Here is a 16,318-nt window from a genome sequence, read left to right on the forward strand (position 1 = left end):
TCAACAAAAGGCCCTTGTTAGCTTAACACTGAACAGTATAACTGAATTAACACAATGTGACACTAATAAGGTGATTCCGGATGTGTTGGAGTCATATTTGTCAAAAAGCATATGTGTGTACATACTTTTAGAAAGCACCTATACTTTGTGTCTAAAATTAATTACCTGAAGCAAAACGTCCCATTCTGGTTTATCCCCCACAAATGTCAAATGTTACTTTCATTTTTTAAAAAATTTTAATTAAAACACATCTTTTTCTTTTTAATTCTTCAACATTTTCCCCCCAAACACACTATATCTCAGTCTTTAAAAAAATTATATGCCTGCTATATTAGACATAAACTCATTTTTTTCTTTTATATTGATGTTGTATAATGGAATCAAGTCCTTCTTCACCTACTGTCCTCTTGCAGCAATAGATAACTGATACAATAGGTGATTTTGAAGAAAAGTCAGGTTTAAAGTGAGGAATTTCAGCTATTTATTTTTTTGCTCTTCCTTACCAGGAATAAACTGAAATCTGAAGGTGGGCCAAAACATCACCCCTCCCTGATTGCCAACTAGGAATTCAGCTTGAGAGATGACACTTTCCTAAGTCAAAATGGGCAAAGGGAAGCCCAGAGAAGTGTTCCACTACTCTAAAGTCAATGAAGACCAAAACAAACAAACAAAAATTGTACAGAGCAAAACAGACCCATTCCAAGTATCTGAAACCTGACAATGCCCTCAGGTGGGAGGGGCACGTGCTGGAGGCACCTATGTGAACACCTGTCAGGAGGGCAGACTGCAAGCGTACATGGGAAGGGGCAGAGTATTATCTAGCCCCAGGTCACATGAACTAGTACTGTACCTTTTCTTCTCTCCTTTTCTGCCTGGCTCAAGCATCGACTCCTCTTTTCCTTCCTTTCCCTTTTGTTCCCCTCAGTGTCCCTTTTAATTGCTTCCCTCCATTTTCCTTAGCAGCATCCTAGTTGATGGTCTGGGTTATCAGAGGAGCAAAAACATTTAAGTGTCAAATAATGCTCATTGTCTCCCTGGGATTTCTAAACAGAAAAAATGAAGAAAGAGGCAGAGAAGAGCTTCACAAGGTGTGTGCCAGCTCTGCATCATTTCCAGCTGCTCAACCACCATTTCTCCCATTTTAGGTCCCCAAAAGTAGGAGGTGGGGCCTCACAGAGCTGCTGTGGGCTTTGGGTATCAAAAGCTGCAGCCACCATATGGGGCACTCCTGGCTGGTGTACAGGGTGGCATGCCCAGGTCTTTTCCCAGGGGAGACTGGGGTTAAGTACCTCAAGTAGCCCTTCTTTTTTTTTCTTTTTCTCAAAACATTTTGATTTGGCTGAAATCAGATCAATGGGTGATGTAAATGGGAAAAAGACTCAAGAGGGACAATTTTTGATGTGGCGTGGGGGTGGTTGGGGATTATTATTATCTGTGCCTTGATAATACAGGGATCAGGGAATGAACCTATATAAAGGTATATAATCCTAGAATTACAGTACCTTTGAGCCAATTCTTTCTTTTTTAAAAGTTATCTCCTTTAATCACCTAGGGGTAGGTGAGCAGAGGAGGAATGGTTTGGAAAAACACTCGATACTTAACACCCTCCCAACCAGGGAGTTTTTTTTTTTCTTTCTTTTTTAAACCTTTCAGTCCTTTTGTTACTCTTATATCCAACCACCCATTTGGGTACCACACATGTAAAGGCACTCCCAATTCTCATCCTGATCTGAGTTAATAGCCCACCATCTATACAATCATCTTTCCTATTAATAGTTTCCACAATGCTGAGGGGGAACACATACTCAGCAAGTCAATGGTCTGGGCAACATATCAGCAGGAAAAGGACTTTAATTTTATAATTAAGGTAGGTTTAGAATACAGTATAAATATCCTCCAACAGAGACGATTCACTGACAGATACTTTAACGCAGTGCTGTTTAATAGAACTTTCTGATATGATGAAGATGTTCTAAATTTAGCCACTAACCACATTTGCCTATTTGAATTTAAATCTAAATTAATTCAAATTAAGTAAAATAGAAAAGGAAATTTGAAAAACAACTCTATTTCCTATAGCATCCAAAGGAATAAAGTACTTAGGAATGAACTTAACAAAGGAGGCTAAAGATCTGCATACTGAAAACTAGAAGATAGTGCTGAAAGAAATTAAAGGCAACACAAATAAATGGAAGGAAGTCCTGTGTGCAGGGATTAGAAGATTTAATACTGTTAGGATGTCACTACTACCAAAAGGGATCCACAGATTCCATGCATTCCCTATTGAAATCCCAATATAATTTTTTATTTTTGCAGAAATATAAAAATTCAACCCAAAATTCACAGAAAATTTCAAAGGATCCTGAAGAACCAAAATAATCTTGAAAAAGAACAAAGTTGGAATTCTTACATTTCCTGATTTCACAACATATTACAGGTTGAGTATCCCTTATCCAAAATGATTGGGATTACAGTGTGCAGATTTCAGATTCTGGAATACTTGCATTAACACTTACTGCTTTAGCAGCCTTAATCCATATAACTGGAAATGTGAAATGCTCCAATGAGCATCTCCTTTGAGTGTCATGTTGGTATTCAAAAAGTTTCACATTTTGGAGCATTCTGTATTTTTGAATTAGAGATACTCAATTGGTGAAAAGCTACAGTGATCAGTACTGTGTGGTAATGGTATCAAGACAGATATAGATATATGGGGCTGGGCACTACGACTCATGTCTGCAATCCCAGCATTTGGGGAGGCCGAGATGGGTGGATCGCTTGAGGTCAGGAGTTCAAGACCAGCCTGGCCTACATGGCGAAACCCTCTCTCTACTAAAAATACAAAAATTAGATGGGCGTGGTAGCACATGCCTGTATTCCCAGCTACTCAGAAGGCTGGACATGAGAATTGCTTGAGCCTGGGAGGCAGAGGTTGCAGTGAGCTGAGATTGTGCCATTGTACTCCAGCATGGGTGACAGAGTGAGACTGTCTCAAAAAAAAAAAAGATATATAGACCAATGGAATAGAATCCAGAGCCCAGAAACAAACCCTTGTGTATATGGTCAAAAGCTAACACCACTCAATGAAACAAGGACATTCTCTTCAACAAATGATGCAGGGAAAACTGGATATCCAAATGCAAAAGAATGAAGTTGGACTCTTACCTTCTAAAATATACAAAAGTTAACTCAAAATGGATTAAAGACTTAAATGTAAGACTTAACACTATAAAACCTCTAGAAGAAAACATAAGTGAAAAGCTTCATGACACTGTGTTTGGTACTGATTTCTTGGATATAACACTAAAAGCGTAGGCAATAAAGTGTCAATAAATTAACAATAAACAAATGGGACAACATCAAACTTAAACACTTCTATATATCAAAGGAAACAATCAGTAGAGTAAAAAGGCAACCTATGGAATAGAAGAAAGTATCTGTAAGTCATATATTTAATAAGGGGTTACTACTAGAATATATAAATAACTCTACAATTCAACAAAAACAAAATAACCCCATTAAAAAGTGAGCAAAGACTGGAATTGCCATTTTTCTAACGATGACACATGAAAAGCCAACAAGCATATGAAAATATGTTCACCATCACTGATCATTAAAGAAATGCAAACCAAAACTACAAGACATCACCTCACATTCCTTAAGGTGGCTGTTATCAAAAAACAAGATCACGATTGTTGGCGAGAATGTGGAGATACAGAAATCTTTGTGCACTGTTAGTGGGAATGTAAAATGGTACAGCTGCTGTGGAAAATGGCATGGAGGCTCCTCAAAAAATTGAAAATAGGATTACTATATGATCCAGCAATCCCTATATATCAAGTGAAATTGAAAGAACAATCTCTAGAGATATCTATATTCCCATGTTCATAGCAGCGTTATTCACAATAGCCACGAGGTGAAAGCAACCCAAATGTTCACCAACACATGAACTGATAAACAAAATGTGGTATACAAATATAATGGAATATAATTCAGCCCTAAAAAGGAAGGAAATTCTGACATATGCTATAATAAGAATGAACCTTGAGGACATTATGCTAAGTGAAATAAGCCAGGCACAAAAATTCAAACACTGCATGATTTCACTTTTATGTGGTCTATAAAGTAGCTAAATTCATAGGAACAGAAATTAAAACAGTGGCTGCCAGGGCCTGGGGGGAGGGGGAAATGGGGAGTTGTTTAATGGGTATAGAGTTTGAGTTTTGCAGGACTTAAAAAGTTCTGGACATTGGTTGCACTTCAATATGAATATACTTAACACTGCTGAACTTTAGAATGATTAAAATGGTAAATTTTACGTTACATGCTTTTTTTTTTTTTTAACACAACTAAATATTTTTTAAAAACTTAAAATTTAGCTTGTCAGTTTCAGTAGCCACTTTCCAAGTGCTCACTGTGGCCAGTCACTACTGAATTCCACAGTGCAGCTCCAGGGTATAAATGACTCTGAGTCGTTTTCTGTTAGTATTTGCCTAAATACTTGGTTGTAAAGAGGTAAAAAGACAGCTATGTGATTAAATAGAGAAAGAGGAAGGTAATAAAAACAAAACAAAACAAGGCTCTGGATCATGTGATGACAAATCTCTCATTTAACCTGTCAGCCACAGGTGGCCCTCAACCTTCTCTCAAGGAGTGTTAATTTTTGTTTTTACCCAGAACAAGATAGTTTTTCCATGGTAAATGCTCTTTTCCCCTGCCCAGTGAGTACCCAACTTTGGGGCCAACCTGTTCTGTTTAACTACGGCTTTCTGTCTACAGCTAAGGAGGATCTCTGAAACACCAACACTCTAATAAATTAAAACTTTCCAGACATCAAAGATTGTTTCACCTGTGGCTTAGAGGGTTGGAGGCCTGACTCAATCATGAATCAAACACTGATTCCAGAAAGGCCGATGGAGCTTGAAAGAAAAACAGGCTGTAGGCAAAGCCATCAAGCTCTCACAACCCTGAATTATCCTTTAAGCAAAATCCTTTTAAGTGTCCATCAGGTTTATAAATCTGAATTGCTCTGGGAAGTTACGATTTTAAGAAACTGTTTCAGCCTTTCATCAAAAGGGTCATACTGTTATCCTGGAGAGAGGCAATGAGATCTTCTAGTTCACTGGTGAGTCCTTTAAGACTAAAGTACAATGTCTAAAGACCACAGAACAAGGTTTATATCTTTCAACTGACACCAAATAAACACAAGATTTAAAACAAAGAAGAAGATTCCTGGAGACATACAAATTACCTCATTGCATTTATAGCATGGTGAAAATTAACATTACCTCAGCCCGTAATAATAAGTACAAATTATATTTTTCACTTACAAAATCAGAATTTATAGCACAGCCTAACAGCCTTTTACGAATTAGTGATATAGCAAATGACTAATGTTTTCAAAATACTTTTTTGACTAAATTTTAAGATCCCTTGACAGGGCCTTGACAGGGATTAGCCAAGCAGGATAAAAATTCTTTATCTTGCTTTTGAGTGAACCACATTTAGAGTTCAGCCAGCTTCTGGATATGGTTGAAATAAAATGCCAAGGCAGCAGTCCAAGCCCACTTCCCCTTCAAAGGCCATTTGGTTTTCCTACTTTCAAAAATGAAAGTATTCTGGCATTGTACTTATGTGTATGGACGCTCCAGGAGGGTAGGGCGTCCACTCATACATGCTTGAACAAAGAACAGCTTTCATCTTCAAATTCAAATGTTTAGGGAGAGCAAAATCCCCAAGTGAAGAGGAAGTGAGGGGACACTACTGCCCAGCTAGCCAGATTCATGATCAATGGGAAAGATGGGATGGTGGATGTCACGGTCTCCCCCTCTTACGCCCACACCACAGCTCAGGGTCATGTACAGTCTGCACAGGAACAGCACTGGCTCCCAGACTTGCCCAGCTGCTCCCAACAGCTACTCACCGCTGTGCCATGAATGATCCTCCTGCGAGAAGAGCCCTCAGGTGGTGTTACAAAGAGTTTTGGTCGATCCATCGAATTTCTAGAGTGTGCAGCTTTGTAGGGCATGATGATGGGGCTGCAAGATGCTGAACGAGGACAAATGGGGATAACTAGGGTGCAGGTGATTGGTTTTACACACAAGAGTGCCAGAGGAGCAGTTGAAGAAAGCCAAAAGCAGGTTCAGGAAAAGGAGCAAAGCAGAGATAGAGAGAAAAGTAGGAAGAAGATGTTATTACCTAAAGGTGCCCAGAACCATCATACTCAACTGTCCTTACAGTCCTATGAATTTATGATGAGTCCAAAAGGAAGGCATGTCCACGTAAAAAATCTGGAATATATTGTTAGCTCTTTGGCTCTTTAAATACTAATGAAAGATGTAGAAGTAATCCAGTAATTATGGAGAGCAATGGTCTTATATTCCTATTAGCTGATGGTTCTGGAAAAAAAACTACATTAGTGATAAAAGATAATTTTTATATAAAGACTAGTTTATAACCAGACTTTTCCTAAATTAGCTTTAAGATGGAACAAAAGGTGGAAAGAGAGGAAGCGTGCAAGCAGGCAAGCAAGATATACTACAACTGTTTCAGGATTCAAATTCAACAGCCAGCAGGGGAAAAAAGCAACCAAACTTAAAAAATGTTAAGTGAACAAGTCTTACCAGGTGTTAAGACTTGTCACGAGGATAAGTAATACTTTTCCAGGAAAATATTCTGTACATGTCTTATTTATTTATAGGCAAACCAAATGCATGCTTCCGGGTTTTCCCAAAAGCCAAGGCATTTGATAGTTCATAAGAAGCAGCATTAGAGCATATGGGGAGATTAGCTATATCTATTTAAAATGTTGAATAGAACAGAAATATGTTAGATCTGCCAAATGTAAGGTTGAACCGTGAAGAACCTTTACAGTTTTACTCAAGATGGAATATTTTATGAAAAACTACATAGCTTCTGACCATTACCTTCCAAGGAACACTGTCATGAATCAACTTATTGCAAACAACAGTGGGTTTAAGGAAATTCATATAACACTGCATAGGTATCAAAAGTGTGAGTATTCAGGTTCTAAGGTCCATTTTCAGATCTCATTCAGAAATTTTATTTCCTAGCAAAAATAAGACAATTAAACACAAGTATAGAGAATACTATGTATTTGGACATGGTTATAAAAGGACTTCTCAACTGTAGTCTTTGTAGCAACCCTTTAAAGAAACCACTATGCCAGCTGAATGTAAGAGGATTAATAACTTAACTCAAAAGTTCACAAGACAAACTTGGGGTGATCTTAACTTCAGGATTATAGAGTTGAAAAAAGATTTGCTATTTGGGTTTAATTTACAGACAGAAAGTCAATCAGATTGCATCTTTATTAATGCACTCTTTCATTAAATGCCTGGCAGTATCTTCTGGCTATCACTGCATGGTTTTGTTCTGCTTTGAGACAGGATCTCACTCTGTTGCCCAGGCTGAGGTGCAGTGGCACGATCTCATCTCGGCTCACTGCAGCCTTGACAGTGAATAGATTGGAAACCGGTCTCTTTTCCCATCATTTGAAAACAGAATTCTGTTTCTTCAGGACAAACTAAAACACTTTTTCATTTCTTCAGTTTTCCTTAAAATAATATATGTACGTCTTAATTGGAAACTGACATAAAGCTTTACTTCCAACCTTAATGGAGAAGGAAGGATTTGTATTGTGAAGGAAGGGAATCTCTTTGTCATTTTGCCTGGGATCACAGGAAAAACTCTTTGAAAATAATCTTTTCTCAAGCGCCACAACAAGGCATTTGCATTTTCTAGACAAGAGTTCACTAATGCAAAATTCTTCCAAGCCAATCAAATGCATTTAAGAAATAACATCCTGGCACAAGGCACTTCTGGGGATTAATAACCGGGGGCAGAGGCACGCACTGCTCAGGGCACAGCCGGAGGCCATTCACCTTGCTCAAGGATCAAGAAACCCTAGAAAACAGCTCTGCTTGGAGGCCATGGGTCTGACACTGAAAAAGGAATGAAGTACAGAAATATGATTTTTCTCTCAAGTGGAAAATAACAATTTCATGAAGTATCTATGGAGCATTTCCTGAAGCTATCATGGATGTAAGCCAATATCACCAGGCCTCTGGTTTATTCTTTATTTTAATGTTGACATGATACTAAATATGGGTTGAAAATATCCTTAAACCTAGCTAGTATAGTCCATAGAAAAACATCCTCAAATTTAGTCCAAAGAACATCTTTTGGCTAAAATAAACCTAAGTTTCTTGTAAGGATATTAGATTTCATGGAATTCATTGCTGCACTGAATAGCAAGTACTGAAAAACCTGAAATCTTCAAATCAATTATTTGAATAATCTTGCCCTTCTTAAGAAATAATAACAATATATAGTTATTTTTTCCCAGAGTACACTTCATATCCCAAATAGTTAATTAAACATGAACACTGTCTCACGAAAATGTCTTTAAGAAAGTCTCCCACAATATATGTATTTGATCCTACTCTTGGTGGTAAGTATGCATTAATTGAACTCGTTCAGGATTTTCTATACGAAATAATGGGTGCAGAGAAAAGATAATGCAGGTCAAGTAGTTGAAATGTAGCATAGCAAAAAGAAAAATGGCATAATATGGTAATACGGTACTAGCATTTACTGAGGGCCTACTATGTGCAGGTACTAGTCTAAGCATTGCATATACATTATTTAATCCTGAGCTCTAATAATCACTTGTATTTTGAATGTCCCGGGGAAAAAAAGTATAGAAAAGTCAACCCAAAGCAGTGGCTGCAAATGAGAGGTGTGAGACTGGGAGTTCCAGTTCTCAACTACTGTATTGTTTGTGCAGGGAGTTTGCAATCACTCTATATCCCAGGGCTAAAAGTAGCTGTTTAATCTGCTGATGTAACCCAGTACAGGACATATTATAGGTTACCTTCTTGCCAATGGCAATTAGGAATATGATGAGGTTGAGGGACAACACTAAAATGGGAAAACATGAAAGAATAATCAAGGACAATAGATGAAAAATAAAAATGATGGAAAATGTGGTTTTGACAAGATAATCGGAAGAGATGTTTGCATATATACTTCTAAATGAAAATTTTAAAAAACCCCAGGAATTTTGGTTCATTAAACATAAGCTGTATCGATGAAACTGGTGACAATGAAGCAGGCAATGTATTGACAAAACAGGCAGCTCAAGTAAAGGCTATGCACTCTTTCACACTAAAATAAATTACAGAAACATATCAACTTGTGAAAAGGAGAATGGAAATGTGTCAAAATAAAGAGCCGGTTTGCAGATAAAAAAGCACCTTGGTTGAGCATAACAACAAAGAAGGGGAGAAGATGGGCAAGTAGAATGGGTGGAAAATGAGGAAACAGTATTGGAAAAGACTAGAGGGAGAGTGAAAGAAGTGACAAGAGTTAGTGATGACAAAAATAGTAAAGACAATTTCCCAGCTGTGAGGCAGTCCTTTAGCACAACACAGCATACAAGGGGAGATTCAGAAGCATGACAGCCATAAACCAGCTAAATGCTAGAAAATAGGACTGAAAAGCGGTTTTTTTTTTTTGAGACGGAGTCTCGCTCTATCCCCCAGGCTGGAGTGCAGTGGTGTGATCTCAGCTCACTGCAAGCTCCGCCTCCCAGGTTCATGCCATTCTCCTGCCTCAGCCTCCACAGTAGCTGGGACTACAGGCGCCCGCCACCACGCCCGGCTAATTTTTTGTATTTTTAGTAGAGACGGGGTTTCACCGTGTTAGCCAGGATGGTCTCGATTTCCTGACCTCAACGATCTGCCCACCTCGGCCTCCCAAAGTGCTGGGATTACAGGCGTGAGCCACCACGCCCGGCCTGAAAAGTGGTTTAAAAGCTTTTCAATTAGCTAAAGAAAAACTCATGACTTGTAGAAAAGTGTGAAATTCATAGGCATAAGAAAAAATATTGAAATAAGCTGTACTTTCTCCTCCTCCAGGAAAACCTCAGATGCAATGTGATGGCTCTGACAGGAGTGTGACTTTACAGAGAACACAGAACACTGTGGTTCAGCTAGTTGACTGCACATTTGCACATAAAGCATCATTCAGGGCATTGAGGATGGAGGGGAAAGCACATTTATGATCCTGTCTGCCCATTTTCTAAGTGGCTTTGGTGTAAGTCACTTATTGTCGCTGCACTTGGTTTTCATAAGAAGGTTGTGGGAATGCCCACGCTTGCCTTCGTGACTGTCTCCCAGGGGTACTATGAGATTTAGGACTGAGATTTATTCGCTCATTGGGCACTGCAGATGAAAGACACCATAAAACCACCAACAATTATTACTTAAAAGCAGGCTAATGAACATGGAGAGGCTTGCAAGGGCAAAGCACTTTTAAAGTGCCAAAGATGAGGGCTAGTAGACTGTTTATATAAATACACCAATTGTCCCCAAAGATATTTGGGAAAACCTAAATCAACTCACCAGGAGAGATCCGTTACCCAAAGCCTTTCTTACCAACTGGATGTAGGCTTACCGACTAGATGTAGGCTTACCGACTAGATGTAGGCTCCACACTAACTTCTCATTAAATTAACTGGCTAATTCAGGTATGTTTTGCATTTCAAAAAAGTAGGAGTTATAACCAATCATCATAACTGGTACTAAGCATGTTTCATATAATTTCAAAGAATGTAACAAATAAGCATATTACAATTAGCCTACTCCACAACTCTGAGAGTTCTGGAAGGGTACAATTCCTAGATTACATATAAAAGAATGGCACAGGGAGAAGTAGTAGCTATGCCACAGCCACATTATGAAACTATATGCTGAAATAACAGACTTGCGCTTTGATTTTATTCCCAAGTCCATATATTAGCATTAAATGTTAAATTATTTCTACCTTGGATTATCTGCTCAGAGACAGAGGCAGAAGGAAAGGCAGGGAAGGAATACTTTCTTCGGGTAATGTTATGAACAGACAGAAGCCTCTGAAGCCATCGGAGCCCGGGGAGAGGCTTCATCAGCCTGCCTGGCGTCTGGTGTCCAGATAAGATGCTAAGGCAGATGCCCAGAGGAAACAATGACAGGGGTATGAAACCAACACCGACAGACATTTCCACCGGGGGAAGAGAGAAGCGCATTTTAGGAAAAAGTGAGATGTGATTAGACGAATATGCTTCAAAGGGAGGACTTGACCTCATGGGGAAAGTTCCACCTGGACAGTTTTACCTGCTTCTCCAGACAAGGCAGCTGTGCTTTTACTTCTGGCCAGGAACGAATGTGTGGGCGTCAGGAGTCTGTTAACAACGCTGCTCTCCCATGGGCTGAGCTGCAGGCGGCGAGCTAAACGTCACCACATAAGCAAGATGTTAGAAGCATTCTTTTCAGAGTCAAGAGGGCATAATACATCGTACCTATTGCTTCCATACGCTGGGCCTTCACAGGACCAGGCTCTGCAGGGAGGATGGTTGGCCAAGAGTCAGGGCAACAGGACCCCTGTCCAGAGGGAGCAGTTATTCCACCAGGTTGCTTTTCTTCAAGATGTTAAGTTTGTAGCAAGCTCTAAATTAGTTTTACAGATGCAAATTTTGCTAACCACCCTCTTTTACTAGTCAACTAGCAATAAACAAAAAATACCATTTCAGCTATTGTTTTGGTGTATATCTATAACTCCAGAGTGGTACTGTCTGATGGGCATTGGGATGGGCAGTAGACTGATGGCACATACCTTAGTCAAAAGGCTTCCTAAGTACCTTGAATAATAAACCCCAATAGAGGCACTGGCAGGTTAATGAAAGACGAGTTAAATAAAAGACAGAAAGGGGACCCAATAAATTATGCTAGATCTCCATGAATTGCTACTTGGGCAATGGGAGTATGTGTGTGGGAATTAGATATAATAAAATGAAAGAAGATTCGTGCAAAGTTCTGTATGGGAATCCTTTTGACCTTTTCACTTGGCAAGCCAAGTTCTTTCAGGTCCCTTTTTGGCAACAATATAAAAAATTTGGCCAAGGACAAGGCTAAGGCTGAAGCAAGATAAAATTAAACAGAAAAGCCAAAATCCAATATAAACATAATCCTAGAGATTGCTAGTGGATGCCTAAGAAGTCTAGAAAACAAATTTAAAATAACGCAATGATGTATGGTCCCAAATTATATTGGAGCTTAGCAAGGCCATAGTCAGGACATGTATGCCAATTATAAATTAATTACTTTGCTTATATGGTTAGTTTCCAGTGATGGCTCATGAAAAGATAGAAGCTATTTTCCAAAAATATCAGTAAAGCTTGCAAAATTCTACAAATATCACTGAAGTGATTACATATCTTTGTTTTAGAACACATTCCTGTCACTTTTAAAAGTTTTGTTTGTGTTTTTGTTTAAGACAGGGATCTTGCCATGTTGCTCAGGCTGATTTTGAACTCCTGGGCTCAAGCAATCCTTCCTCAGCCTCCCAAGTAGCTGGGTTTACAGGTGCATGCCACTGTGACTGGATTAAAAGTCTTTAAAACTGTCTACACCTGAAAAGGCTGCTTCTGTTCCACTCCACAAACAGCAGGTGGCAAAGTCTCCTTTGCCTCTGGAGCAGTGTTCTATATAACTATCTTAAATATATCATATTTTAAGTGAATGGCATTTAAATGCTAGGAAATTAGTTTTAATTAATAAAAGCCATATACTGCTAAACATTGTCTTAAAAATAGTTGCTTCCATTTGGAATGAAGTATCAATTTCCAATAAGTACCTTAACTATGTGACTAATTTAAAAGAGTAAATATTTTGATCAGGCTCTGGTGAATTTAAGAATTAGTGAATTGTTTGTTAGAGTCTGTTTACTAGAAGAGTCTTCATGGTTAAATTAAATATTATCTGACATTAAGATTAATTAAAAAGATGTTATAAAAACTACTGCAATAGTTACAATTAGAAAGCACCACGGGCTAAGTACTATCATAAGCTATGTGCAGCAGTGTAACAACAGAATAGAATACAATCTAAAATTAGAATACATGTACAGGGTAAAATCAGTGGGGAAAAGGTGATTAGGACTAACTGAAAATCTTCCACAGAACTATTTTCAAGAGATGAGAAAGGGAAGAAAGTTAAACTCTTCCTTTTCTTAGAAAAACTGTACGATGACTGTGGCTTACAACTGCAGAGATGGGTTGTCATGGAAAAGATAAGTCTCCTTTCTCCATTAAGAAGTTCAGTTACTTTATTTCCATGAGTCTGAAGGCATCGACCAAAAAATTTATCTCAAATGATTAAAAACCCATTGTAACCTGTGGTAAAGCAAATCCAGAGAGATCTGTTTCATATCTCCTGATACTCTGAACTAAACATATTGCTAGGAGAAACATGTTTCCACTTCCACCACATTCATAACTATGCCTTGACCAAGATGGAGACAGAGCGTCCGTAAGATAACTTTTTAGTAAAGGTTAATAAAGGAGAATTGGTGCATTGTTGTTGTTGTTGTTTTTTGTTTTGTTAGTTTGTTTTTTTCCCCTAGAGGGGCCTGATTTTAAGATTACCAAACCGAAGGGAGAGATATTAACTCTCATGGAACAACGCTATGGCATCGATCCTATTTAAGCACTTAAAATTGAGATATTGACAATTTCCATTATAGGCCACCCAGATGAAGAGAGGCAAACTCAAAGGCCTCTGGGGGCCATGCAAGTTAACATAAATAAATGATCGGGGCTAAACAAACTTTATGGATACCTGCCTTACCACTTCCTCCCATAAGCGTGACATCACTATTCCATTTCAGGTAATAGGTGCCAGGAAGAAATTAGACACATGTTGCCAGGTCCTGATTTTTTCTTTAGAAGTAGAAAACTGAAATGTTACATGAAGTATTCTATATTTTAAGTGTTGGCAATTAATTCTAATTAAAACAAGAACAAACAACACTGCTCAGGTAAAACAGAACAAGCCTGTGAGCAGAATTTATTTCGAGGTCTACCTCTGAGTCCTATGATGAAGATTCTGGGGAAAAAATGTATTGATGGATTTTAAGCAAAAAGTAGGCAATTTTTCTTACTCTTTTCCAACTTCCTAATATTCTTTCTTGAGAAAAAGTTGGTTAAGCAGATAGCTTAAAGATAATAATATATACTTTTAATGTAAAAATTTCCAGTGGCAACATTCTGTTCCAGCAATTACAGAAACCTTTCATAATCAGAGGTTTCTTTTAACCAAAGTAATCTTATCAGTCCATGTAACACCATATTCAGGTGTAATAATTAAAATATTTAAAAACTGACAAGGCACAGACACTACACTAATGACTGGCTTCCCTTGGCTTTGGAGGGCCCGGGGAAGCACATCTTGGAAAAGTGATATGGAAATATTTCAGTATTTTTAATAACTAGTAGAGCTCTTTGGATATATTACAGCAGAACATGAGCCCTGATGGTATCGGAGCCTCAATTTAATCTCAGCTTTAAGGCCTATGCCTTAGGACTGAGAAAGCTCAAACAATCTAATAATGATGTATATACCTGCTTGACCCATTTGTCTATAAGGTCCTCTAATTTAACAATCTGGTAAGAATGCTTTCTAATGAGATAATAAAGTATAACTAACTTTTAAAAATAGCAGGAAAGAACTAATGGAATTACTTAAATTTCTTTTATTTATTTTTAATTATTTTCTTTTTGAGATACGATCTCACTCTATTGCCCAGGCTGGAGTACAGTGGTACAATCATAGCTCACCACAGTCTTGACCTCCCAAGGCTTAGGTGATCCCCCTGCCTCAGCCCCCGAGTAACTAGGACTACAGGTGCACACCATCACGCTTGGCTAATTTTTGTATTTTTAGTAGAGATGGGGTTTCGCGATGGTGCCCAGGCTGGTCTCAAATTCCTGGGGCTCAAATGATTCACCCACTTTGGCCTCCCAAAGTGCTGGAAATACAGGTGTGAGCCACTGTGCCTGGCCTTAAATTTCTAAATTAGAGAAATTTAAATTCAGAAGAAGTTTTAAAATTCTCACTATAATAAAAGGCCTAAGCCTTTCAGGGTTCTACTGAGGGCTTTGCTTAAGTTAAAAAGAAAAAAATTCCTTCCTAGACAATATATGGGAGCCCCTTCAGGCTGACCTGGCCTGCTAGACCAGGAACTGATTGACAGTTCTTTGGTAAGGAGGCAGAGAAGCAGAACTCTCAAATCTAGCGTTCTCCCTCTTGTCCTATTATTTCTGCTTAGTATTCTATTTTCTGGGCCTCTACCATGATTCATAGGGCAGTTTTCTGGCCCCCTCTATGAACTGGTTATTGAACTTCCCTTAACGCTGATGTCCTATGTCCTAATTCTCTACTCCTTACCACTTCTAACCTTACACACACACACACACACACACACACACACACACACACACACAGAGAGAGAGAGAGAGAATGCATGGAGTCAGAGTCAATCTAAGAAAGGACACCCATGAAGGTGAGAACTGAGGATGCAGTGTGGCGGTCACACGGGTGAGGAGTCACCCTTCTGCAATAATTAGCCTGTAGGACATTAAAGAGAGGCTCGCAACCTCTTAGGGACTCTATCACCCCAACTAGAGTAGGTGATCTATCCAGTAGATCTTTTTCAGTTCCAAGATTCTACTGCCTTAAGAAGGTCTATCGTGCAGAGAGTCTAGAATACATCTTTCTAATTGATACAGACAATTCAATGTCATTCCACAGCATGGACAGGATATTGCCAAGTTTGTTGTCTAGCTCCCTACTCCCACCCTTACCCTAATTTCAGCTATGGGATTGTAGAAGATAATAAAGTTTTAAAGAAGTGTAAAATACTAATTGTAGTTTGTCTCAGATCCAGGTTCACAAAAGTATGAAACTAAAGTGCTAAGTGACCAACTGCAAAGAAAAGATGAATAGACAACTGTAAGAGTAACATTCACATGCTATATTTTGTCTTATATTTAGGGAATAGGTTTGAAAATAAAGAATATGAAAGAAATTTAAATTCACAATATTTATGAAAGGCCCCTAATTTGACTACAAGTCTAATATTGATGGTTTAGGCAAATTAGGTTAAAAAAACAAAAGGAAAGAGTTTTGGCTAAAAGACAAGAATGGAAAGTTGTTCAAACATTTACTATTTTAAGAGATTAGTTATAAAATAACACCAACAGTCACAGAATATTGTACATTACAATGACACCATAACTTTTATACAATACAAAATATATAAATATACATACACACATACAGAACATGCACACATTACATTTTTTAAAGATTATAAACACTGAAACTTTCCCAATCAGTTTCTTAATAAAGCACTCAAAGTAACCACAATTTTTTACTTTTAAAGAGTATGGGCTTCATATTGCACAACAATTCTTTGG

The 16,318-nt window shown here is 38.2% G+C and overlaps 1 protein-coding gene across 39 annotated transcripts in view; it reads right to left on the reverse strand.

Moving 5' to 3' along the window:
* The window catches only part of MAP7 (microtubule associated protein 7), a 207,689-nt gene that overhangs the window by 23,844 nt on the left and 167,527 nt on the right, over positions 1–16,318 (reverse strand). For 26 of the 39 annotated variants that reach the window (NM_001388347.1, NM_001198617.3, NM_001198616.3 and 23 more), the window contains 2 exons: positions 11,178–11,291; positions 5,924–6,048 (listed from right to left, as the gene is read on the reverse strand). In NM_001388347.1, coding sequence (NP_001375276.1) covers positions 5,924–6,048; positions 11,178–11,291 — 239 coding nt within the window. Of the gene's footprint in view, positions 1–5,923; positions 6,073–11,177; positions 11,292–16,318 lie in introns of all 39 variants that reach the window. The other 13 variants (NM_001388342.1, NM_001388334.1, NM_001388337.1 and 10 more) reach the window with 3 other exon arrangements.

Source organism: Homo sapiens, chromosome 6, assembly GCF_000001405.40.
Source record: "Homo sapiens chromosome 6, GRCh38.p14 Primary Assembly".
Classification (NCBI taxonomy): Eukaryota; Metazoa; Chordata; class Mammalia; order Primates; family Hominidae; genus Homo; species Homo sapiens.